Source organism: Homo sapiens, chromosome 10, assembly GCF_000001405.40.
Source record: "Homo sapiens chromosome 10, GRCh38.p14 Primary Assembly".
In the NCBI taxonomy this organism is placed as follows: Eukaryota; Metazoa; Chordata; class Mammalia; order Primates; family Hominidae; genus Homo; species Homo sapiens.
This window is the reverse complement of record NC_000010.11, coordinates 69,745,899-69,771,276: the sequence shown is the minus strand read 5'-3', so window position 1 is coordinate 69,771,276 and position 25,378 is coordinate 69,745,899. Positions and strand designations below refer to the sequence as shown.

Genomic DNA, 25,378 nt, shown 5'->3' with positions numbered 1-25,378 from the left:
GATTGCACTTTGGTGAGATGGAATAAGCAGCTATGGGCTACGGCTGGCAAAGGTGCAGCATTGCTCTCTCTAGGCTGGAAACCTTTGCTTTGCCCCTCTGAGCTGCCATAGCTCAGGAAACAGGGAGGCACCAACACCCTGAAGAGGAAGTGCCTCTGGGCATCCAACTCACTGAAGTTGAGCCACAAGTGCGAGAGGAGATCTTCTCACCAGCACCCCTTTCCTGGAAAACCCTCTACTTTCTCCCTTGAGGTCAACAGGCTGTTTGCACCCATGATCCCTTAATGAGCTGGCCATGAAGTCTGAAGGTCTGGGTGAACAACGCTAAAATGCTGCTTGGAAAGGGGAGGCACGCCGTGGAGAAACGGGTGGATGTCCAAGCCCTTCTTCCTGAATCAGGCTTGACTGTCCTTTAGGGTCAAGAAAACCCCTTTGATTTCATAGTCCAGGCATGGTGGGGACAGGGTCACAGAGACCAACCACTGTTTGGTATGATTGGCTAGAGATGGGGACACAGCACCAACCTCACCACCACTAATGAGCTGCATGACCTTTCCTGCCCATCAGGAACAGGAAGTCAAGGCCCTACGTCGCTCTGGAGGCTGTGAACTCAAATGTGACAAAATAGGAGAATTGCTAGGAGAAGAAGCCAAGTGCTGTATAGAGGCTGGGCAGGACTGGGACAGCTGGTTCTGAGGAGGCTTGCCCTGAGAATCCCAAACATATGCCCTCGGGTCAGACATGGAACCTCCCTGAGCCTCTGTTCCCATTTCTTCATTTGTTGGTTCATTCATTCATTCAATAGCAAGTCACTAGTGACTCAGACAAGGGCATGCTTGCTATACCAATCTGGGCAGCAGTGAGGCTGTGGGGTGCCCATGTGGTATTTTGCTGTGTGATCTTGGTCAGGTCATTTCCCATCTCTAAGCCTTACAACCTCCAGCCTTGCAGGGTCATAAGACCCTGGAATCAGCCCACCTGTGCTGCAAACAACCTGGTTCCAGAGGCTGCGTAGTGTGGTGGGAAAGCAAGCTCTCCAGAAGCGGCAGGTGCGGATCCCTCTCCCAGCGCTGCCTCTTGCTCCAACCGGTTCTGAGTGTCCATTCTCTCTCTGGGGGTTGTGAGAATTCCTTTACTGCAGGAACAGCACTTGGGAGGTACCTGGTACCTAGTCAGTGCTTGATAAGACTTAGCTCTGTCTTTCACAGAATTCGCTCTTCATGAGAAAATAAACTTGCTGAGCTCTGGTTTATGTTGGTCTTGCAAAGCCTTGGTTTCATTCAGGGCGGTGTTGGCCCACCCTGAGTCTGAGGATGCCGTGTCCAGCTCCTCCTCTGCCTTTTCTGGATCTTCCCCCTCATGCAACCCCCAACCTCCACGAAAGGTCCATGCCTTCCTTGGGGTCCCTTGCTCTGTGAAATGCAGCGTCCTCATGCTCTGTTTCTTCTTCTCATTCAAACCTGCCATTGGAAAAGGGCTGGATGACTCATTTATATCAAAGAGTAAATGATTGATATGGCTGGGGCTTTTTCCTTGCAGGGGGCTACGTTTTGGAAGAAAACAAAGCCATAAATGGGCTGAGTGATTATGACAGTCCTTTGGGCATCGATGTGCAAAGGAGAGCTCTTTGTGGGTTGGAGGAACCTATCTGGAGGGGGCCCAAGAGTCCTGGGACACCAAGGCTGTTGCTGCAAATCGGCACAGCAGGGCGTCCTGGCAGTGACTCACCCTGGCAGGAATGCAGTGAGCTCCAGGCAGCCTCAGCCCTCCCCTCTGGCCTCTCTTGGACCTTCCTTCTGGTAGTACATCTGGACCCCAAAAGGCAGCTGTTTTGGGGGCTCCGCGGAACCCACAGACCTTCCCTGACTCAGCCCAGTTCCCACCCCCACTGGCCTTGCAGCTCCGTTTGTCCCTTTGCTCAGATCCCAGCTTCTAGGAGTTTCCTGGGATTTGGGAACAAGATGGCCTGATTTGTTCTAAGAGCGTTTTTGTTTATATTCCCTGGTTCTTTCTACTCTTGGGGGAAAGGAAGAAAATAAAAGAAAAAAAAGGGAGGGAGGGAGGAAGGGAAGAAAGGGAGGAGAGAAACTTGTGCTTTGACCAAAGAATTGAAATGGGATTTTCCCCTTTTTCCTTCTTCTTCATTTTTCTCCCCAGCAGCAAACTACCAGACTCAGAAATGGAAGAGTGGGGATGCCTTTGGCTTCCGGACGAGCCAAGGATGGCAGCTCTGCCTGGTAGGAGCGAGGGCCACCAGACCTCAGGGGCAAGACCTGGGCTTCCTGTCCTTCATCCCAGGGGAGTGTCTTGGGGGACAAGCTGACAAGGCCAGGAAGCGTCAGCATGTGGGTCTTCCCGGACCCCTCACCCACCACGCCGAAGTGTTTCATCACCCCCTTGCTCTCATACCTCACTTTTCATTCCATGCTGCACTCCCAAAATCAGAGAAGAGGAGGAAGAAGAAAAGGACAGGATGCCCACCACAGCCCCCATTCCATTTTCTTCTCACCCTGCATTATTCTCTGACATCGTGTTGTTGGTTTATTTGTGTATTCCTGTCTCCCCTCACCAGAACGTGACCCCAAGAGGGAGAGATGGGGTCTTTCTCATGCATTGGGTCGCCACGGCACCCATGGCCCAACTCTGGGACTCAGTGGATGCCAGGAGAGCAAGAGGAGGTGAGCTTACTCATCACCCTCAGCCTGCTGCAGCCACCAGCAGCCCTGGAAGCTCCAGTCTCCAGATTCCCTGCCCACACATGCACCATATGCACTCATGTGCATACATCCACATCCTTGTGTGCACATTCACACACACACATGCGCATTCACACACATGCATGTGTGCCCTCACACATACATTCACATGCACACACATACACACATGTCCACGTGTACACTCCATGCACACGCTCACAGGACCATGTTGAGAGGGGCTCTATGTCTCAGAGCCTCTGAGATGAGCGAGGGAACCCGAGGCCAGAGCCCTCAGCCCCCAGCCTTTGCCTGAAGAAGAGGAGAGTGACTCAGTTCTGCCTTCGTTGGGGTCCCTTAGCTCAAGGACAGAAGGTGCAGAGCCACCTGAGCTGCCAGGCCCCTCCCGAGAGTCTGACCAGCTGGAGGCTGAGGACGTGAGAGGCGGTGGTGGTGTAACTCTGTTTCTGCCTTACAGACCTTTGGCAGCCAGACCAGACTGGGGGATGTACCCCAACATGGAGGGCTGGGCTGGGCAGGGCAGGGGAGCCAGGAAGCCTCCCTGGTGCTGTCAGCTTCCTGGCCCACCTCTTGCTGCCCTTGGCTGGGAGAACAACATTGTTTGGAGGAGAAAGTGGGGCCTCTGCCAGAGCTTGTCTGGCTGAGCTGGGCTCGGCCTGGGTCCTCAGGAGCCCCTGGCCAAGAGGAGTCTGAGCAGTGGCCAGCTCCCTCAACAAGGGTGTGAGAGAGACTGAAAGAGCCCTGATACCTGCTACCTGCTCCTTCCCAGCCATCCTCTGCATAGCTCACGTTTCCTTTCCAGACTGAGCTGACCACACCCGCTTCAATGTCCTTGCTTCAATGGCTCCATTGTAGCTCCCAACTCGCTGAGTGTCCAACGCTTCCCATGAGTTATTGCAAATCCTTGCAAGGGGTTGTTTTACAGGTAGGGAAACTGAGGCTTAGAGATGTTATGTCATGTGTCCAGAGTTGCACAGCTAGTGAATGGTGGATCTGGGATTCAAAATGGAGTTGGTGATGCCCCTGGGTTTATTCTCCCTGCTTTGTATCAATGCCTCCTCCCCTGGGAAACTTTGTGCCTGGCACTAACTGGAGACTTTGCCACCTTGCCCTGTGCTACCCCCTCTCCCAGCACAAGCTGAGAAGAGAGTGTGGGAGAAGCACCCACTTCATGCCCCATCACAGCCACACTGGGCCCAGAAGGCAGGCGTGCTCCTGGGGTCCCAGAAAGCATCCCTATATTGTCTCTTATCCAACTGGACAGCAAGTCCTGAAAGATCATCTTTTCAGATTTCTCTTAGGTTTCCTGGGCCTAGGAAACACTGCTACTTAAGTAAACACAGCCCACCATTGCCAAAGGGCCTCCTGCCTGGACGCCACTAATCCCCTCCTCGTATTATAAAAATTAGTGGACATAGTCCATGGCAAGCTCGCAGACACTGTCCAGCACACAATGCCCTCTAAGCAAATGCTCCTCATCACTTTCATCAAATGACAAGGTGGGGCAGTGGAAAGAAGGCCAGCTTCCAACCCCAGATTTCTCAGTTAGTGGCTGGGCCTCAGGTTCCTCCTTTTAAAATAAGGTGGATGCTCCTGAACACCCGTTCAGCCGTGTGCTTCAGTGTCCTCTGAGGTGACCAAGGCCTGAACCCTCAGATAACATGTGTTCCAGCCTCTGTGAGCATCTGCTTTCCCATGTCAATGTTTTTCACACATGCTTTCCTCATCTCCACAAAGGAGGAGGGAAAGCAGGGACCAGAAGTTCCCACTGACAAGCAATGACAAACACCCAGAGAGGTTATGTGACCTGCCCAAAGCCACACAGCAGACTCAACACTGGAGCCCAGCCTTCCTTTCATTGTCTTCCAAAGGCCACAGTGGCTCAAGCTGGACAGTGGGAGCAGAAGCCATGGGGGAGCAGAGTGGAACAAAGCTAGGGATGGGAGCAATGTTGGACAGCTGAACATCATCCCTGCCCCCTTCCCCACAGGGCTGTGGGGGTTTGCCAGCTATTCCAGTGATTGAGAGAAAGGCGGGCAGCAGAAGAGGCCCTGGATCTGAAGCCGGCCTTTCACCACGAGCAGTAAGCAGAGAGTGCCTAATGACTCCAAGCTGTCCTGGAACGTTCTCTTGGCCCTGGGGAGCTGCTGGGGGAGTCTGGCTGCTGTGCACAGCAGCTGTGTGAGCTGCCTGCCGGCAGCAAGCCCAGCCACCAGAGACCACCAGTGGCCACAACCAGGGGCCGCCGGCAGATGGGGCCAGGAGAGGGCAGCTCCTTCTTTTCTCGGCTTGGGATCTAGGGTCAGCCGGGTTAGCAAGGAGCAGGGCTGTGTGGCCAAGCGGGCTCAGGCCCTGGCTCTTCCTCCCTTCCTGTGAGCTGATAGAAAGGGCCCAGGTTAGGGCCAGGACACTGAGCATACTTCTCCCCACCACCACCGGGCAGAGCTCGGGACCCATGCAGGACCAGCCCAGGCCACAATGAGCCAGACTTCTGTCTGTGAATGCCTCTCCCCACCCCTACCTCCCATCAGCAGCTGAGCACTTAGGCCTAGGTGCTCAATCCAAGCTCTGCCTTTATGAACTGTGAGATCTTAAGCAACTTATTTAACCTTTCTGTGCATGTTACTTAACCTCTGAAGCAAATACCTACCTCATAGGGTTATTGTGAGGATTAAATGAGTAAAGCCTCAACCAAACCCAGCATAAGGTACCAGAAAAATGATGGCTGTTGTTGATCTTAGGTTAATTGAAATCGAAGCCTTTGCCTGTGTGGATGTGTGGAGGGCCACCAGGGTGCCATGACAGAGCCATTCTCCTACTGGCCTCAGCAGTTTCTTTTTTTTTTGAGATGGAGTTTCGCTCTTGTTGCCCAGGCTGGAGTGCAATGGTGTGATCTCAGCTCACTGCAATCTCCACCTTCCGAGTTCAAGTGATTCTCCTGCCTCAGCCTCCCAAGTAGCTGGGATTACAGGCGTGCGCCACCACGTCTGGCTATATTTTGTATTTTTAGTAGAGATTGGGTTTCACCATGTTGGTCAGGCTGGTCTCAAACTGCTGACTCAGCTGATCCACCCGCCTCGGCCCCCCACGTGCTTGGATTACAGGTGTGAGCCACCGTGCCCGGCCAGCAGTCTCCTTATGCTGTGTGGCATTGGGGCCCCATGAAAAGCCAATAGAAGCCCCTGCAGCCCAGACTTGGCCAAACTGCTCTTTGAAGTCTAATTACATGAAACATGATGATCATAACACCAGTTAGCAATCATCAGGTGTCCTCTGTGACCCCCTTGTGCTGAAAGTTTTATGTGCATTAATTTAAATGAATTCAAAACAACCCTAAGATGTTGCTACATTTATAATTCCCACTTTACAGTTGAGGAAACTGAGCCCTAGAGAGGCTAAGTAACTTGTTCTAAACTAGAGGCAGACTTGGGAGTCCAATCCTGGCCATCTGTCGCCAGAACCACAAACATTTCCTTAGGCTCATTTATAATGATATCTGTTATTATAGGCTTGCATCATGTTTCATAAATATCTGTTTACCCCATTAGGTTACAAGTTCCCTGTGTGTGGACACCTGGTCGACTTTTCTCACTGCTGTGTCTCCATGAGCCTGGTACACACAGGTACCTGTGGCAGATGCTGCTGGTGTCCGGCTCCCCAGAGCTTCCAGCAACTTGTCTCTTTGCCTGAGGGTTCTCTGTGACTGCTGGAGCCTGCCCTGCCCATGTGGCAGCCCAGAAGTGCCAGGGAATCAATTCCCCCACAGAAGTAACCCTCAAACCATGACTGTTGGGAATTGGCAGATAAACACCCCAGGTCCCTTGTCCCTTGGGAAAGATAACTATGAGGCGTGCTATGAAATTGTGAAATAATAAGAAATATATATTTTGGGCTTCTGGACAGAGCTCCTAAAACCTTTGTAATTTCTTAAGTGATAGGGGTGCTAGGAACATTTTTTATTCTAATAATCTAGAAGCATCTTTTATTCTAATATTTATTAGAATATACTAATAAAATATTTTATTCTAATATTCTAATCTGTGTCAGTTCCTGACACAGAGCTCCTAAATCCTTCAGAATTTCCTGGGGCTAGAAGCATTTTTGTTCCAATGAGGCCATTCTTGATGGGCTCCTGGATAACTTCAGGATGGGGGGTGGTCACCAGAAAGGCACAGCTGTGATTAGATCTTGGAACTTTCTTTTTTTTTTTTTTTTTTTTTTGAGGCAGAGTCTCACTCTGTCTCCCGGGCTGGAGTGCAGTGGCATGATCTCAGCTCACCGCAAGCTCTGCCTCCTGGGTTCACGCCGTTCTCCTGCCTCAGCCTCCCTAGTAGCTGGGACTACAGGCACCCGCCACCACGTGCAGCTGATTTTTGTATTTTTAGTAGAGATGGGGTTTCACCATGTTAGCCAGGATGGTCTCGATCTCCTGACCTCGTGATCTGCCTGCTGCAGCCTCCCCAAGTGCTGGGATTACAGGCGTGAGCCACCGCGCCCAGCAGAATCTTGGAACTTTCATGCCCACCTTCCCTCCTCCTGGGAGGGGAGAGAGGCTGGAGGTTGAGTTCATATATCATGCCTACGTGATAAGGTCTCTGTAAAAATCCCTAAAGTATGGGGTTTGGAGAGCTTCCAAGATACTGAACACATCCATGTGCCAGGGGAGTGGTGCTCCCCAAATCCATGGGGACAGAAGCTCCTGTGCTCAGGACTCTTCTGGAACTCACCCTACGGATCCCTTCATTTGGCTATTCATCTGTAACTGTTATTATATCCTTTATAATAAAGTGTAAATGCATTTCCCTGAACACTTTCTGTGAGTCACAGTGGCTCTGGGAGCCACAATAGCAAATTACGGAATCCAAGGAGTGGGTCACAGGAACCCCTGATTTGGAGCCAAGTGGGACAGAAGTACGGGTTACCTGAGGACCACCTTGCGATTGGCGTCTGAAGTGGGGGGAAATCTTGTAGGACTGAACCCTTAAACCATGGGCTCTGCACTAACTCTGGGTAGCTAGTGCCATAATTGAATTGCGAGACTCAGCTGGTGTACTGAAAGTTGGAGAACTGGTTGGTATGGGGAAAAAAACCCCAGATATCTGGCATCACAGGTGCTGAGAATATAGAAGGAAAAACTGTTTTCCTCATACGTGTGTGTTCTGTGCTGCCTCCCAGAGCTCCCAGTTAGATTGAGCCCCGGTTGCCTGCAGTGGTCACCTGTTGGAAACACACTCTTTGTTGGGCAACTTCCATTCCCCGTCCCACTTCCCCACTCAACTACCAGTCAATGATTTCAAATAAACCTCACGAATACATGACTTGCACTCAAATTCTCATCTCAGAGGCGGCTTCTTGGGGAGCCCACTCTAAGACAGAACTTCAGGTTTGTGGAATGATTGTCCTACCTTATATGGTGGAGTTAAAGAAAGGAAAACCACTAGCCTAGTGGTTCTGTACACTTTTTATTTTTTATTTATTTATTTATTTATTTATTTTTTTGAGATGGAGTCTTGCTCTGTGGCCCAGACTGGAGTGCAGCCAGACTTGATCTCGGCTCACTACAACTTCCGCCTGCCAGGTTCAAACGATTCTTCTGCCTCAGCCTCCCGAGTAGCTGAGATTACAGGCATGCACCACCACACCCAGCTAATTTTTGTATTTTTCGTAGAGATGGGGTTTCACTATGTTGGCCAGGCTGGTCTTGAACTCCTGATCTCAGGTGATCTGCCCACCTTGGCCTCCCAAAGTGTTGGGATTACAGGTATGGAGCCACCGCGGCTGGCCCACTTTTTATTTTTATAATAAACACACTTTTCTTTTGCCATTGCATTGAAAAATATTTATTTAGAAAGAGGTAAACCCACATTGGAAAGACAAGCCCTGGCCACAAAGGAGAATTCCCTTTCTCCCGAGCGCCTTGTGATTAAGATCACCAGGGAGATCCAGACAGGAAGGTCCCATAAGTGAGTGCAGGGGAAAGAGAAGGGTGAATGCCTGGGAGTCACCAGAGTGGTCAGGGAGGGCTTCTTGGAGGTGGCAAGGGAGCTGGGCCTTGAAGATGAGTTGGAATGAAATAGATGATGAGTGGGTCTCTCAGGGGTTAGTGAGGGCATGAGCTCCCCCTCCAGGTGGGAGCAAAGGAAGGGTAAATCTTTGGGACTCTTAGGAAGGCAGCTGTGCTGCTCACTGGCTGGGTGATTTGGGGCAATTACTCAGCCTCTCTGAGCCTTACCGCCTCATCTGTAACTTTACAACCATACCTGCCTCAGAGTTGCTGTGAGGATTAGACAAGACCACATGGGCAAAGAGCCTGGCATGGAGCGTGTGACCAAGGCTCAGCAGCAACCATGGGTGGTATATGTGGGTACACTGAGTGGTTCAGTCTGACTTACCATCTGCAACTTGGTCCTCAGCTTGGTAGTTGCTGGGATGGCACCTGGCAGGGCAAGATGCTACCCCTCTACTCAGTTCCAGTCTCCAGGAAGTCATCTCACCTCTGTGAGCTCCAGGTCTCTCATCTGTAAGATGAGACTCGAATCTCAACTCCACCTGCACCCAAGGCTGTCGGGCAGACCAGATGAGAAAACAGATGGAAATATAGTGTGTAGACTGTTGCATGCTGGCGCTTTGCAGGGGTGACGGTGATGGCCACAGTGACTCAAATTCAAGATGAGAGTGCTCAGAGCAGAGATATTATTATGAGGCAGGAATTCCTAGATGCGTCAGGCTGAAAAGGACTCTGAATAGAGCACTCAAGTTGAACCAGCCCCTGCACGGCCCGTTTTACAGATGCTCAAACCAAGACCCAGAAAAGAAGCAGGATTTCCCCAAGGCCAACAGCTGGCAAGATGCAGAGCAGGGAATTGAATGGAGGACTCTGGTGGCCAGCTGGTCCAGGGCACCCTCCTCTCCTCCATAGTTGCTGCCAGGAGCACAGGCCACCTTCTATGCTGCTCCCCGACCCCCCACCTCACTTTTGCCCTTCACTTTGCCTTTCTGTCTGGCTTCACTCTCTCCTGCCTCCACCTTCAACCCACTTACACTCTGCACCCACCCACTCCCTCCATTCCCACCTAGTGAGTTGACTCTGATGTATTTATCTCGGAGAAGCTGCGTTGGCATGAGCCTCTGTTTGTAAGACACCCCACCTCTGTTTACTGGTGTTTATCCGGTTGGGTCCTGTCTACCCTTCTAGCCTGGAAGGCAGAACAGCTCATCCTGCCTCCTGGGTACCATCACCCATCCCCTGTGGGCTCAGACCTCTGCACACAGCAGGCACTGAGACAGCCACCAACCAACTGACAGGGCGCCCAGGCTTGCACAGGGCTCAGGGGCTCACATGGGTGGGGGATGAGAGGATCCCCCCACCAAGAGGAAAGGGACCTGTATTTCTGGAATTAACAATCATCAGGATATTAACAATCATCACCATTATATTCACAATAATTATAATGATAATCATAATAAAAATGTCAATTTCCATGTACTCCCATTTACTATATGCAGGGACTATACTAAGTGCTTTTCGTATATCATCATGGTTAAACCTTACAATAGCTCTGTGCCTTACAATAGCTCTGATGTGGTCATTGCTGCTCTGCTTTTTCAGATAAAATGATTCACAGAAGTCACATTTGTTGGAGATGGTTCATGGGTGATGCAGCCAGGATGCAAACACAAATCTGTTTGGCTCCAAATCCTCTGCTTTTACCCACTCTGTCTAATCACTGTATTGATTGCCACTTCTATGATCCATGTACAAGCAACAGTCATCCCCACCCAACACACTGCTGCAGAGGGGCCTGCTCATTCCACAGCCCCAGCTGACTTCTCCGCAGGGAAGTGGGTCCCAGCCATCTCACAGCAACCTACCAGGAAGCTCTGGACCCAGTCAACTGGCAGAACTGCTGCCCCAAACTCTGATGTGCAATTAGTGAGACCTAAGTTAATTCAGCCTTTTAGAGAGCAATTTGGCAAAGCTAGCCACAATTGAAAAATGTCACCCTCTTTGATGCAGCCGCTCCTCTTCCAGAAAGTAATCACCAGCAGGCACTCAGTCCACATAAGAGATGTTCTTTGCAGACGACCTATGGCCATGATGACAGAGACACCCAGATGTTCACTTATGGATGAGCTGTGTGTTCACCAGTGGGGGAATGGTGATATAAGCCCACATGCATCCACAGGCGGCTAGGAGGCAGCCATTAAAATGAATGAGGCAGACTTATATGAACTGAAGAGGGAAGACTTCCAAGACATATGGTAAGCAGAAAACAGCAAGCTGCAGAACACTATGTGAGGTGTGTATATAAAACGCCCAAAACAAATCCAAATGATATATGTGCGTAAATAAACGCCAAGAAAATGGACTGCAATGATACATACTCAGTTGTAAACAGTAGTTACCCCAGGGAGGGAATAGGCTTGAAAGGGCAGAGGTAAAGTCGAATTTTCACTGTTCACTCTGTGTACTTGTGTATTTTTTTTCTAATGAGAATGTGTTCATGATTCACTTGTGTAGTTAAAAAACAAATCCAACCCGGGCTCAGGTGGCTGTCAGTGGAGAGGAGGCAGGAGGTCACAAAGATGGATTTTGCTGAGGAGATGGTCCAGGGGTCAGCCTGAGCCCTTGGGAGACCCCTCTGGTGCGTCTCCTGTTGCTTCCCCAGGGCAGTTGCCTAATCCCCCTGCAGTGGTCCGTGGCACCCCGTGCTTAACGGGCCCACTGACATCCATGACCTTGTGTGGTCTGTGCAAGAGTCTTGCGAAGTTAAGAGGCCTGTTTTGTGGATGAGCTCATTCAAAATTGTAGCCAACAGGGTGGGAGCAGGGGGAGTCTGGGAGCACATAATCCCACAGAGGGGAAAAGGAGGTAAGTCTCAGGCATAATTAGGGGTGGTGGTCCCTGTAGGAGGAGAGAAAGGGGCAGACATGTGATGGAAGGTGGCGGAGGTTCGGGCTTAACAGAGGAACCCTCCACTGTGATCTGGATGGGGTGTCCTCCCCTGTCCCAAAGAGACCGCCTTCCTTGCTCCACTGTTTTACCAGCTTGAAGTCCCCCAGAGTCAGTCAGACAAGGTTTGAATCTGCCTCTTACCAGCTTCGCAGGCATAAGCAAGTCACTTTCCTTCCTGAGCCTCCATTTCCCCATCTGTAGAACAAGATCACAGAGGCCGGAAACAGTGGCTCATGCCCGTAATCCCAGCACTTTGGGAGGCTGAGGTGGGTGGATCACTTGAGCTCAGGAGTTCAAGACCAGCCTGGGCAACATGGTGAAACCCCGTCTCTACAAAAAATGTACAAAATGGGGCATGCCTGTAATCCCAGCTACTCAGGAGGCTGAGGCACGAGAATCCCTTGAACCTGGGAGGTGAATGTTGCAATGGGCCGAGATCGTGCCACTGCACTCCAGCTTGAATGACAGAGTAAGACTCTGTCTCAAAAGAAAAATCATAGAAACACCTCCCAGGGCTGTTGTGAGATCACAACAAACAATAATTATGAAGCATCATCACAACATCTGATGCACAGTCAGTGCTTGATAAATGGTGCTATTAATTATTCCTGAGTTGATCCCAGCTGACATGTGAGCAGGACAGGGTGGTGGCTTTTAAGAAAGGCTTCAAATCTGGCCCAACTCTAGACATTCTACTTTTCTTAACCTCCTAAAACAACAAATAGATTTCCCTTCATTTCCAAGAACAGGTTATCAGCTCCCTATTTAAACCCTCGTGGCTGGATGTGTTTTAGCTTTCAGAACTTTAGAAATCGAGATGTGCTGTAGAGAAACACATCCCTCCCCTACCAAGGTCTCATCAAACATTGTAATATTTTTGCAGCAAAACATGAATATTTACACCAAGGGGGATAATTACATGCAATAAATAGCTTCATGTCAGTTTAGCTCAGGTTTTGCTGCCAACTGAGTTACAAAAAGCTTTGGTTCTCAGAGCTTTGAGGGCTTTGGTATTGTGGGCTAGGGACTGTGGCTTTGCTTTGTAACTCCCTTATACCCTCAGACTGGTTTTCCCCTCCCAAAAGTACCTTTGCTACACTGCAGCAACTCCAAGAAGAAGGCATTTTATCGCCACTTTACAGATGAGGCTCAGAGAAGTGATGTGACTTACCTGAAGTCACACAGCCAGTGAGTGTCAGGGCCAGTACTGGTATCTGGGATCCTAAGTTTTTTTGAATGGCCATGAAAAATAGGGATCTGAGGCTGGAGGAGCTTCTGTCCCTCCCCCTGCTCTCCCACAAGCTAGTTGAACTTGGCTGTGTGCCAGCAGCCAGCAGGCCGTGTGCATACTGCCCATGGCTGGTCCAGGCTGCACTTCCTGCACACACAGTGCCAGACACTGGGCTCAGAAGTCTCCCTCTGCATCTGCAAGTTTCCGGGGATGGCAGTAATGAAGCTGTAACAGAGAAGGATTTTCATCCTACCCATGTGTTTTCACTTCAGCCATACAACCAAGATATTTCCTGGCATCTGGGTTCAATTGCAGGCAGACAGGGGTGCTGGTGGCGGTGGAGGAAGAGGAAGAAGACTGAAAGCCTAGGCTGAGGCTCCCCAGTCCCGCTGTGGATGTGTCCTCTCCCTGTCCTGTCACCGCAGACAAGACCAGGAGGAAAGCGACTTGGCCTGAGGCCAGCCAGATGATATGGATAACTGGGGTGGCGGGGGTGTAAATAAATAATTCAGGACATGGATCCAGGGTGAGTTCACTAGGCCACGCTGGTCTGTGTGGGATGGCTGTCTCAGGGGAGGGGTGCTTTTTCAGCAGAGGCAGCTGGATCCTGACCTGGAGTCTCCTGGGTAGACGGACTCCTTCCTGGAATGAACCCTCCTCTGAGCCTCTGAGCCACAGGAGGGTTGTCTTTGAGTCTCTTTCTAGAGGCTGGGCAGCCTGGCTCAGCCAGACCTTCACTCCCTGTGGGAAACTCCAGGAGGCTCAGACGCTGTGTTGAATGAATTGAAAGCACCTATGCTGCCCCAGAGGGCAGCTGAGCCTGGGCCCTGTGCCTGCCCTCTCCCCAGCACAGGGAGCGTAGCTGTTGGGCTGCCCACTAGCTACACAGACACTCGGGGTCAGGCCAGGCTCTCTCTGGGAGGACATATCTGGCTTGCTTTACTGTGTAGAATAGGAGCTGGTGACCCTGGCTGAGGTTCTTACCGGCCCAAGCACAGCCTGTCTTCTGCATTCTGGCCTGTGCCTACTCAGGGCCACTGACTTGTGCTCTGGTGATCAGGAGCTGATGGCGGCATGGTGGCTAAATGCATGGGCTACTCTGACCCAAGTTCCGGCCCTGATGGTGTCTTGCACTCCTGTATGACTTTGAAGTCATCCAATTCACTGTGCCTGAGTTTCCTATCTTCAAAATGGGAGTGGACCAGCACACACTCATAAGCATGTGGGAGTTAAATGGCTAATTTACAGTAAGTTTACTCTAATGTATAGATTATATAATAGTAGCTACTTCAGAGGAGCCAAAGCTGGAAGAGCTTCTGGAAATGAACTGGGCATTCCCCTCACCCTGAGGTGAGTCTCCTTGAGACCAGACAGGGGAAGCAAAGCAAACCTTGTTAGCAACAGAATGTGTAAGGTCTGGGCCTGCTCCCCAGGCCTGCCTCTTCTCCCTTACTCCCTAGGTTAAGTCTGCAGGCCCGGGTTTCACCATCCCACAGAGCAGTGTCTACTGACCATTCAGTGAATGCAAGCAAAGAAACAAACGACCCTCTCTGAAAAAGTGACACCATCTTTAAAAGAAAGTAGATGTATAGATGGATATTAGATGTGTCTGCATATGCTAAGTGAAAAGCCTAGAAGGAAATAAGCCCAATTCAACAGAGAAGGAATACTCAGGTTTTACTCTATGTTGTTTTGTCATGGTGAATCTTTCCCCCTGCTTGGGCCAGCTTTATAAGATAGATAGGTAGATATTAGAGGATACTAGTAGACAAATAACAGAAAGATAGATGATAGGTAATAGATAGATTGTTGATAGATAAATGATAGGTAATAGAAAGGCAGATGATAGATACATAATAGATAGATGAAGATAGATAGATAGATAGATAGATAGATAGATAGATAGATAGATAGATAGATAGGGGGCATACTTTGAGAAAGCATCCAGGGAGTTGGTCACAGAATGCCCAAGTTGCCAGCTTGGCCCAGCAGCTGCAAGCTAGGGTGTGGGCTTTTGCTCCAGACGGGCCTATGTCAGGGTAACTAGGATGAGAGAGGCAGAGAAGAGGGACACAATAGGCATGAGTCTGGGAGAGGGACAGCAATGCCCTTTGCTCAGCCTTTCCCCTCTGGGGGAAGAATGCCCATCTTTACTCTCCAGGGCCTTTAGGACAATGTGATCTGGTGCCCTGGTCTCTGGCTTCGAGCCTGTTGGATGTATTTGCAGGGCTGACTTAACCTGTCCACTGATGGATTCAGGGGTCACACGTTCCCATAACAGGTTTTGGAAGGCACAGCTAGACCCTGAGGAGCCTGGTGAGGGGTTTACTCTCCCTTGTCATCCTGCTTTTGACTTCCAAGCCCCATCATATGACTCGGCTCTTCTCTCTTGGGGTAGGATGGAGTATGTGTATGTGGGCAAGTTATTGGGTGCTGAGAATGGAATCATTCCAGTGTCAGCAAGACATGCCTCAGAGCAAAATGTAATTGTATTCCTAGGATCCAAGCTTAGGAGAAGGATTCTGAAGCATCAGCTAAGCCAACCCAACAAGCCATTGGTGTTACTCTGCCCATAGTTGAATGCCTCCTTTGGCTGGATTCTCACCTCTACCTGAAGTGGCCTGTTCTGTGCTGATTTGATCAAGGTCTTCCACTTTCCTAGAAATGACTCTCCTTTGCTAGGAAAGGACAAGTGAGTCCAAGGTATTGGGCATACCATGAACCCCAGACTTTTTCAACATGGTGCAGCTTGCCAATGGCCTGAGAGGAAAAGGCCAGGTCTAGGTACCACCCAATGGTGTGGTTTAGAAGTCCTCTAAAGTCATCTGCTCAAAGGCACGTCCCTACTCAATGTCATGGGATCTGATGTTTCCCCCCACTGGAAAGGGTCCCCTCTGGTTTGTGATCTGTGTTTTTATTTTATTTAGCTGTCTTCTGAAACTAAAAAGTTAAAATTGAGCTATAATTTACATATCACACCATTCACTCATTTAAAGTGTATAATTCAATGGTATTTACTGTATTCACAGAGTTATGAAATCATCACCGTGATTAGCTTTAAAATACTTTCATCACCCCAGAAAGAAACCCTATACCCTATTGCCCCCAGCCCACTACCCACCTGTCCTCGCCCCCCGGTCTTGGCAGTCCCTAACCTACTTTGTGTTTCTATATATTTGCCAATTCTGGACCTTTTATATAAATCACATTATACAATATGTGGTCTTTCATGACTGGCTTCTTTCACACAGCATAATGTCTTCAAAGTTCATCCATGTTGTAGCAGATATTAACTCTTCATTCTTCTCCATTGCCAAATAATATATTGTATAATAAGCCACATTTTGTTTATCCATTCATCAATTGATGGGCATTTGGGTTGTTTCCACTTTGGGGCTGTGACAAATAATGCTGCTTTATATATTTTTGTACAAGTTTTGTGTGGACCTATGTTTTCATTTCTCTTTGGTATATCCCCAGGAGTGGAATTGCTGGATCATGTATTAACTCTGTGTTTAACCCTTTGAGTGTTTTCCAGACTGTTTTCAAAAATGGCCTCATCATTTCACATACCCACCAGAAGTGTATGGGAGGGTTCCAATTTCTCCACATCCTGGCTAATACTCGTTATTATCTGTCTTTTTGATGATAGCCATCCTGGTGGGTGTGAAGTGGTAACATATTGTGATTTTGATTTGCATTTTCTCGAAGGCCAACGATATTGAGCACCTTTTTATGTACTTGTTGGCTGTTTGTGTAGTTTTTTTTTTCCTGAGAAGTGTTCAGATCTTTTAGGGCTTTTTTAATTTTTGAGTTGTAATGGTTATTTTATAGTCTAGATACAATCTAGACTATGTAATATATATTATATTATACAATATAATCATATATCTTTATCAGATGTATGATTTACAAACAATTTCTCCCATACTGTGGGTTGTCTTTTTATTTTCTTGATGATGTTCTTTGAAGCGCAAATTTTTTAACTTTGATAAAGTCCAATTTATCTGGTTTTTTTTTCTTTTATTGCTTATGCTTTTGGAGTCACATCTAAGAAACCATTGTCTAATCCAAGGTTGCAAAGATTTACACCTATGTTTTCCTCTAGGAATTTATAGTTTTAGTTCTTTAGGTCTTTGATTCATTGAGTCAATTTCTGCATCTGGTGTGGGTTCGGGGTTCAACATTATTTATTTGCATGTAGATAACCAGTTGCCTGTCTTTTGATGAACATTCTTAGTTTTAATGTGCTTGACTTAATCTGTCTTTTATCTTAACATTAGTACTTTTAAGGCCTTATTTTAAAATTCATTCCATACTCTTCAAGATCAGAAAGATATTCACTTATATTTTTATTTAAAAATGCAAATTTTTATTTTTGACATTTAACTTTTTAAGCCACTTGGAGTAGTTTTGTTTACTGTGTAAGGTAGAAATTACATTTTATTCCCCTTCCCTACTCATGAATCTTAGTTATTCCTGCATCATTTAGAGAAAATGCTATACTTTCCCCACTGTTCTGCCATACCACCTGTATCATGGATCAGAAAGGGCTTTGGATGCAGGTTCAAACTCTGCCTTTTCCACTCCAGTGTGTGACTGTTGGCAAGTCTTTTAACCTCTCTGAGCCTCAGCTTTTCCCTCCTGTAGATAGAAGTAATATTCTCTGCTTATCTGCTTCATTGGGTTGTTTGAAACTAAAGTTATTAAGTTTTTTTGTTTTTGTTTTTGTTTTTTGAGACAGAGTCTTGCTCTGTCACCCAAGCTGGAATGCAGTGGCATGATCTCGGCTCACTTCAACCTCTGCCTCCTGGTTTCTCCTGCCTCAGCCTCCTGAGTAACCAAGATTACAGGTGCACACCACCATGCCCAGCTAATTTTTGTATTTTTAGTAGAGATGGGATTTCACCATGTTGGCCAGGCTGGTCTTGAACTCCTGGCCTCAAGTGATTCACCCTCCTCGGCCTCCCAAAGTGCTGGGATTACAGGCGTGAGCCATTGCACCTGGCCAAGAAGTCTTATAAAGCAAAACATCATGATGACGATGACAATGACAACAAAGATGATTGAGAGTGGTCAGGCGTGAAGGTTTCATCCATTGTCGGCCTTCAGGAGGAGTGACTGTTTCAGGTGAGTTTCTAGTGAATCAGAAAAAAACCTGAAGGATTGTGCAGACTGAGGGAAGGAAGATCTACAGAGGGGAAGTCCCAGAGCGCACATGCTACTGTGAACAAAGGAGGCTGGGGTGGGGAGTCCTGGGTAACTAGGGACAAAGGGGCCCTGGTGTCTAGGATGGGACCCCTGAAGTGGGCAAGAATACCCACCTTGAATCTTTAGGTGGGCCATACAGGGGGTAAGAGTCCAGGCCAGCTCACCCAAACCTGGAAGGAGTCCACAGACTAGCTGGGCAGTCCTCCACTTTCCAAGGGCCGAGCCTACCCTGGGTTCTCTTGCCAGCTCTTGAACGATGATTGGTTCATCCAGACTGCCCCACTCTGTACTGTGGGAAGTTTTTACTGAAGCTGGGCTCTCCCACCAGCCAGGGAGCTTCCTGAGGGCAGGAAGCATAAGGCTCAGCACACAGTGAGAACTCTGATGAGTAAAGGAAAGAATGAATGAATGAATGAAGAGCTGGTCTGAGCCACATGGCATGGGGACCAGGCTGACTCCGCCTCACGTGGCTGCAGCACAATTGCGTCCTGGGTCAGAGGGAGGCTTTGCTTCTTCCGGTAACACGAGCCTTCTGCAGCACTTCTCCCCCGCCATTCCAATGGCACTGCCTTTCTCCCAAAGCCTGTGTCCATCCTCCCTGACTCTCTCCTGGAATCACTCTTTCTCTCGCCTGCTCTCTGAAACAGTCTTCTCTCCTTCATGCTTCTCATCCAGAATCTCAGACTCCCTCCTTTCTCCAGAAGCATCCAGCTCTCCCATTATCTCCCTCCTCCTCCCTCCCAGAATTCTTCCGAATTGACCCTTCACTCGTCATCTATATACTCAGTTGTGAGTTTGGCCATGAACCAGATCCTTCTATTTCCCTCTTTCTGCTGGGGTGGGGGTGTCATTTGCTCATTGATCTTTTCTTCACAGGGAGAAGAAAGGCCTAAAAACCTCCTCCAATTCCCCACCTGAACCCTTCTCTCGCACTAAGTCAAAACCCCAGAAATCTTCACAGTATACTGTTTCCAGATAAATCTTAGCAGCCCCCACATGAGGCCAGCATTCCAAACTGTGAAGAACAATTTTCATCCTCATGAGCCACAAACCCACCCCCATTGCACCCACCACACACGCCACACAGACAGAGCCAAGGGATGGTGCGGCCCAGGATACACCCCGTCCTCTGACTGCTGGAAACTGAGAAGGGTGAAGTGGAAAAGATGGGGGAGACTGGAGGTGATGGAATCAGGGAGGGCGGGAAAGAGAAACAGAAACACATTGTGGTCCAAACTTGCAAATAGCAAAACCATGGCCAAAGCTGCCTGTCTTCACTCTGTCTGCCTTCCTTTGGCTCCCGGGCTAGGTTGGCTCTATGCACAGATTTTCCTCACACGATAGTAAGTCCTGAAGGAGTTCTCTTTTCCTCATGGAGCCTGGACTGCTAGGTGCTGCAAAGTTCTTTTCCATGTCCACAACTTCCTGCTCTGGTCTTCGTGTTTATAGATGTACCCCAAATGTAGAAACACAATGAACAGAAATGTGCTTTTGTGTTATTGTTCATCTAGAGGCTGGTTCTAAATACAAAACCTAGAGATCTGCCTTCTATAGGATATTCCTTGAGCCCCCCTCTCCCTTCCTGCCTGCAGCCACACATCCCTTTATGAGCTCTGTCTGCAGAGCTGCTCCCCTGCCCCATCACCTGTGCTGCCTGTGGACCCACTGCCTGACTGCTAATTTGACACCTCCACCTGACTTTGCTTAGAGAAACTTGGATGACATCTATGGAGGCAGCAGCTCTCAGCGTGCCCTGAAATGCAACCCACACAGCCAAGAAACGCAGCGATGTCTGCTGCTGTAGGAAACTGAGAAAAAGAGGTTTATGAGCCTAGTGTTCTGCTCAATTAAGCTGTCACTGGATGTTTTGAAACTCTGGGCCAAACACACTTGTAATCGCTTTGTGTTTATGCTTGGAAATCTATTTTGAATATTACCATTATCACCTTGGAAAATATTTTCTCTTAAAATATGCAATTTAGCTATTTTTTTTTAAAGTCATTTCATTACATCTTACATTTTGGAGGTCAAAATTTCCCCTCCAGAGGAATCTGGAGTGGCATCCAGATGAATGAATGAATGAAAGTGAATGAAAAATTAGGATTCAATATGCAGAAACTTATCTTAAAGTTCATTTCCCTTCCTGCTAAAGTCTGTTGCGATCTTCCCTCCACCTCATCAATCTCCAGGCCCTTTGGCATTTAGGGTCACTGCCAGTTGCTTTCTGTAGCTCTCACAGACAGCCGTGAAATCCCGAGCTTGACTCCTGAGAGAAAAAAGGCCTGGGGCAGACCTCAGAGTTCACAGTACTTTAAATACAGCCATATTCCCAAAACACAGATGTGAGAGCCTGGAATTATCGGGCTCAGGGCTGGAAGAGTCCTAGAAGCTCATCCACCTCTAAATAGACAATAATTTGTCTTCCAGAACATCCATCTTTCTATCCTCTTTTTAAAAGTGTTGCAGGTGTAAAAACTCCATGGGTACCTGTTCTAGAGTTTGTGGGTGAGGAGTCCTCCTCTACAACTTACTGCAACCTCACCAGCTTTAGCCTCCTGACCAGGGTTGCCAGACTTAGTCAAAACAAAAAATAACTTGATGCCAGTTCAATTTTAATTTCAGATGGACAACAGTTTGGCAATCCTACACATGACTGTGTCTCAAGCTGATGCTGGCTGGCCACAGATTGTGAGATCATAACCTGTGCCCATCTCAGGACGAGCCTTGAAGATGTCCCCCTGTCCCACAGGAGAGGAGGTGTTTAGGATATCACCTCCCAGCCTGGAGCACAGTCCACACTGGGATCAGTAGTTGAATCCAGTGTGAAAGATCAGGATGACTAATTGCCATCACCTGTCAGGAGGGGACGGGAGAGGGTGTCTCCACAAACAGGCGGTCCCAGCAGCCGGAATGGAACATGAGGCTCTCCTTGCCTGCACTGGCGAGGATGCCACGCAGAATGCGCTGACAGGCCTTCGAAAGCCAGAGCAGAGGCTGCCAAGATGGGGCCAGGCAGGAAGCAGGGAGGGACAGACCCCACAGAGGGAGACGAGAGGAGGTCAAGGAGGCGGGGAAAGAAGCAGAGAGGAGGGGGCAGGACCAGAGCAGACACAGACTTGGGGAGCTTGGTGAGTGTGAGGAATTTCTGAGGCAGTGTGTGGACGCTGCATGTGAGATGGTCAAAGTGGACTGCAGAACTGGTGGGCTTCCCACAGAAAGAATGGATCACCTACGGCAGGATGAGGCAGAACTGGGTAGGTTGGAGTCCTACACTTAGGAAATCAGTGTCCAAACCAATGATGGCCGGCTGACGGCCCTCTTCCCTTCCAGTCTGTCTGGAACAGGTTCATGGGAGAGGTGCGCTGGCCCTTCCCCAGCCAGTGAATGCAGAGGGTCTAACGAGGTGCACAGCATGGAGGGTGCCCCCCGACCCCCCGACCCCCGACCAGAAAGGCAGGGAGGCTGTCTGCAGACCAGGGGGGGCCAAAGAGGCCCAAAAGGGAGAAGTTCTCCTTTTTTTTTTCTTTAGCACTTTTTATGTTTTGGCCACTGAATGAGTCAGGATTCCCAACTGCCAATGAAAGAAACTCATTCCCAACTGGCTGACACCATGAGGAGAATTCACTGGCTTTGAGAGGCTGAAAAGTCTGGGAGTAGAGGTTGCTTTAGGTCCATCTAGATGGAGAGGCCCAGGCAAGGTCCGAGCCTCCCACTCCCTCGTCTCCTGCACCCCGTTTGTAGCAAGCCTGCTCTCCAAATGATAGCTTCCGAGGCTCCAAGCTCATCCGTCAACTCAGCAGCCCCAGTAGCAGTGCCGGCAGCAGTCCCATGACTCAGTCTTGTCTGTCTGATTTGTTTAGTGTGCTCCTCAGGTCGGAAGGGTAGAGAATGCTGATTTGCCAAGCATGGGCCGAGTATGTGACTCTGGGGAATGGAGGGGTGGGGGGCCAGCCACAGCCACTTCAGGGACTGACTTTGAGAGAAGTGGTTCCCCAAAGGAAAACTGGGGACCATGAGCAGAAAAGGAGAACGGGAAAGAACGGATGCTGGTCAGGTGAAAACGCTGATGTCCAAGACAGTAGACTTTTACATCACAGCTGATTTCATCTGATCCTTGCAGTGAGGGGTGTTGGGTGGAGAATATTAAGTTATTTTACAGAAAGGTAAACAGAGGCTTAGAGATGTTGTGACTTGTCTAATGTCACAGAGTGTGGTGGAGGCACAGTAGGCATAGAACTCAGGTTACTGGGTCCTGAGCCAGCCTCAGCAGATGCCCTCCTACTGGAAACACAGGGCCTGGTTCCTGTTAGCCAAGGGCTTTACCAGCCAGCGCCAGGCCACACCCAGCCACTCTGAGAAGACCAAGAAAGAAAGAGAGTTGCTTCAGGGTGAGCCAAGTATGTGGAATGGGGTAAGGAGAGGGAGCTGCAGGCCTCACAGAACAGTGAGGAACTTCAGCCAAGTGTTCACCATAGCAAGAGTGTTTAGCAGGAGCTGCAAATGAACAGGACTCACCTAACTGGGGACCCAGGAGCAGGGCTGGGTAAATAAGCAGCTCCCACGTGGAAACGGGGCAGGAAGAGCTTCTGTAACCCCTGCACCCTTCAGGGCATGTGTGAGGCCTGGAGCCCAATAACCAGGGAAGCAGCTTGAAGCCACTTCGGGCCTCAGGTGCCTGGGGCTCTGTCCCCAGAGGATTGCATGGCCCTGTGCAAGCCATACGCATGCCTAGGCCTCAGTCTTCCCATCTGTGAAATGAAGCACACAGACCAAATCAGTGTCTTTCCTTTTTTTGGTGGGATGGGGCGTGCTGCAATTCACAGTGAGAAACACCTTCGCCACTGACTGGGTACAAACATAGATACACAAATTTCACAAAATGATATGGACCTTGACTATATGCAGTACATTCTGATATTTTCTAGTTTATTAATTTCATTTTTTAAAGCTGGTTTCTATCCATCCATTCCTGGAAATCCACACCAGATTCATTGATTTCCAAGGACCTTCTTAGATGTTAAATCTTTCCGGCAGGACCTTGGGCTTGGGATAGCAGTTAGGTGCTGTGGTCATAAGGAGGAAGCGACAGAAGTGGGCTTTGGAGGGGCTGATCCCCAAGAACTCCACTACCCTCTGGTTCTCTCATTTCCCTTTCCAGCTTTCCCAGGAAGCGCTGCCCTATGGGCTGGCAGCTACTCTGAGAGCCTCCATGCTGTGTGCACTTGGGCAATCCCCTTCCCTGAACCTCTGTTTCCTGACCTGTAAGATGGGGTAATAGGAAGCACAAGGCTGGATTGTGGCAATGAGCGGACTGCACTGTGCTTTGTCTGGCATGGATCTCCCCACATCCAGGTGGCCCCAGTGACTCCAAGTGCCCCAGGGAGCTCTTTCATGGCTCTGCTGAGCCTGTGCAGCCAGTGCCCCATCAATCCCGGCCACCCCTTGCACCCCTGGCCACCCCTTGCACCCCTGAGTGCCTTGTAAGCAGTTTTAAGGACACCAGCTGCATTTGTGGGTAGTTGACAGGTGGTTTAATCAGAGACTGCAGTTTCTGTTTGAAGAACAAGGGAAAATCCCAGAAGGAGGCCTGAGAATTTGCAAGGAAATACTGGCGGGCTGACTTTCTGTCTGTCAAAGACAGTCCCGAAAGGACTGCTCAGCCTTGCATGATTGGCTCCCAACTTTTTTCGTAGAGCCAAGAGTCATTCAGGCAATTTCCTCCTTCCTCTCCAGGCTCCCCTACCCAGTTGAACTTTTTGGAGTACCAAGTCTTTGCTTCTGCAGTGTTGGGCTCTGTTGGGATTGGGCCAAATCTGGGGATGCCAAAGCCAGTCACTGACAGAACTTTTAGAAACTGACTTTTAGTTACCCAAGTGATACATGAATACAGCCTCCCTTTTAAAAATGAAAGAATCGCTGATAAAACCAAAGGCCCTTTGAGCACCACACGCAAGCCCTTTCCCCACTCCCACCTCTTCACTGCCACCGCCTCCTTCTGTGATAACCTTTGTATGTACTTGATAAAAAAAATAGGTAATGTTGTACACATGGGTGTGTTTTCTTTTCCACATAAATTGTATCTGTGGCAGACACTATCCCTTACCCACCCAACAGCCAGGGCACCCTTTTCTTCCATGCTAACAGAAACTGATATTCAAGTAGTGGGCAGAACTCTCTTGCTATAGGGAAGGGTAGGTCCCTCTTCTAATTTCTAGAGAATGAATCACGACTGATGTAAATGAATTTTGATAATCTCCCCCCTTTAACAGAATGGTCCAAAGGTTGGCTGATGACCCAGTTCTTGCTAATGAGATGTAAGGAGAATTCTCTGGGAAGGGCTTCCCTCACCCAAGACCTAAAGCTTTGTAAAGAGAAAACCCTGGGCCGGGCGTGGTGGCTCACGCCTGTAATCCCAACACTTTGGGAGGCCAAGGCAGCTGGATCACGAGGTCAGGAGATGGAGACCATCTTGGCTAACATGGTGAAACTCCGTCTCTACTAAAAATACAAAAAATTAGCTGGGTGTGGTGGCGGGCGCCTGTAGTCCCAGCTACTTGGGAGGCTGAGGCAGGAGAATCACTTGAACCTGGGAGGCGGAGGTTGCAGTGAGCTGAGATCATGCCACTGCACTCCAGCCTGGGCAACAGAGCGAGACTCCACCTCAAAAAAAAAAAAAAGAGAGAAAACCCTTTCACTTTACCCTTCTTCCGCATTGGATACAAATGTGATGTCTGAAGTTGCAGTAGCCATTTCACGACTATGTAGCAATGAGCACAAGAGAAAAGCCAGAGAATCACAGATATATGAGAGAGCCGCTGACCCAAATTTAGCCATTGCTACTTCTGGACTCCATGTTATTTGAGAAAAATAAATGCCTCTTCGTTTATGCTATAGTAGGTTGGCTGTTTAGTTACTTAAAGTACAAAGGAATCCTGACTTGGGATTATATTACATCTACTTATACAGTAGTCACCCCTTAGCCAGGGGGATCCTCTCCAAGACCCCCAGTGGATGCCTGAAACCATGTCAAATCCTAGATATACTATGTTTTTTTCCTATAACACATACCTATGATAAAGCTTAATGTATAAATTAGATACAGTGAGAGATTGCTAACAACAAAATTAGTAATAAAATAGAACAATTATGACAGCATACTACAGTAAAAGTTATGTGAATGTATTCTCTCTCTCTTCCTCAAAATATCTTATGGTACTGTACTCACCTATTTTCACACTGTAATTGACCATGAGTAGTTGAAACTGC

General features: G+C 48.8%; 4 annotated features.

Moving 5' to 3' along the window:
• Window positions 1,479–2,242: an enhancer, noted in NCBI's record as "H3K27ac-H3K4me1 hESC enhancer chr10:71528791-71529554 (GRCh37/hg19 assembly coordinates)". NCBI's record gives its function as "activates a minimal SCP1, AML or CMV promoter by ChIP-STARR-seq in naive and primed H9 embryonic stem cells {active_cell/tissue: H9 hESC(naive and primed)}" and the evidence as "EXISTENCE:reporter gene assay evidence [ECO:0000049][PMID:30033119]".
• Window positions 2,243–3,006: an enhancer, noted in NCBI's record as "H3K27ac-H3K4me1 hESC enhancer chr10:71528027-71528790 (GRCh37/hg19 assembly coordinates)". NCBI's record gives its function as "activates a minimal SCP1, AML or CMV promoter by ChIP-STARR-seq in naive and primed H9 embryonic stem cells {active_cell/tissue: H9 hESC(naive and primed)}" and the evidence as "EXISTENCE:reporter gene assay evidence [ECO:0000049][PMID:30033119]".
• Window positions 3,007–3,771: an enhancer, noted in NCBI's record as "H3K27ac-H3K4me1 hESC enhancer chr10:71527262-71528026 (GRCh37/hg19 assembly coordinates)". NCBI's record gives its function as "activates a minimal SCP1, AML or CMV promoter by ChIP-STARR-seq in primed H9 embryonic stem cells {active_cell/tissue: H9 hESC(primed)}" and the evidence as "EXISTENCE:reporter gene assay evidence [ECO:0000049][PMID:30033119]".
• Window positions 13,713–14,214: an enhancer, noted in NCBI's record as "H3K4me1 hESC enhancer chr10:71516819-71517320 (GRCh37/hg19 assembly coordinates)". NCBI's record gives its function as "activates a minimal SCP1, AML or CMV promoter by ChIP-STARR-seq in naive H9 embryonic stem cells {active_cell/tissue: H9 hESC(naive)}" and the evidence as "EXISTENCE:reporter gene assay evidence [ECO:0000049][PMID:30033119]".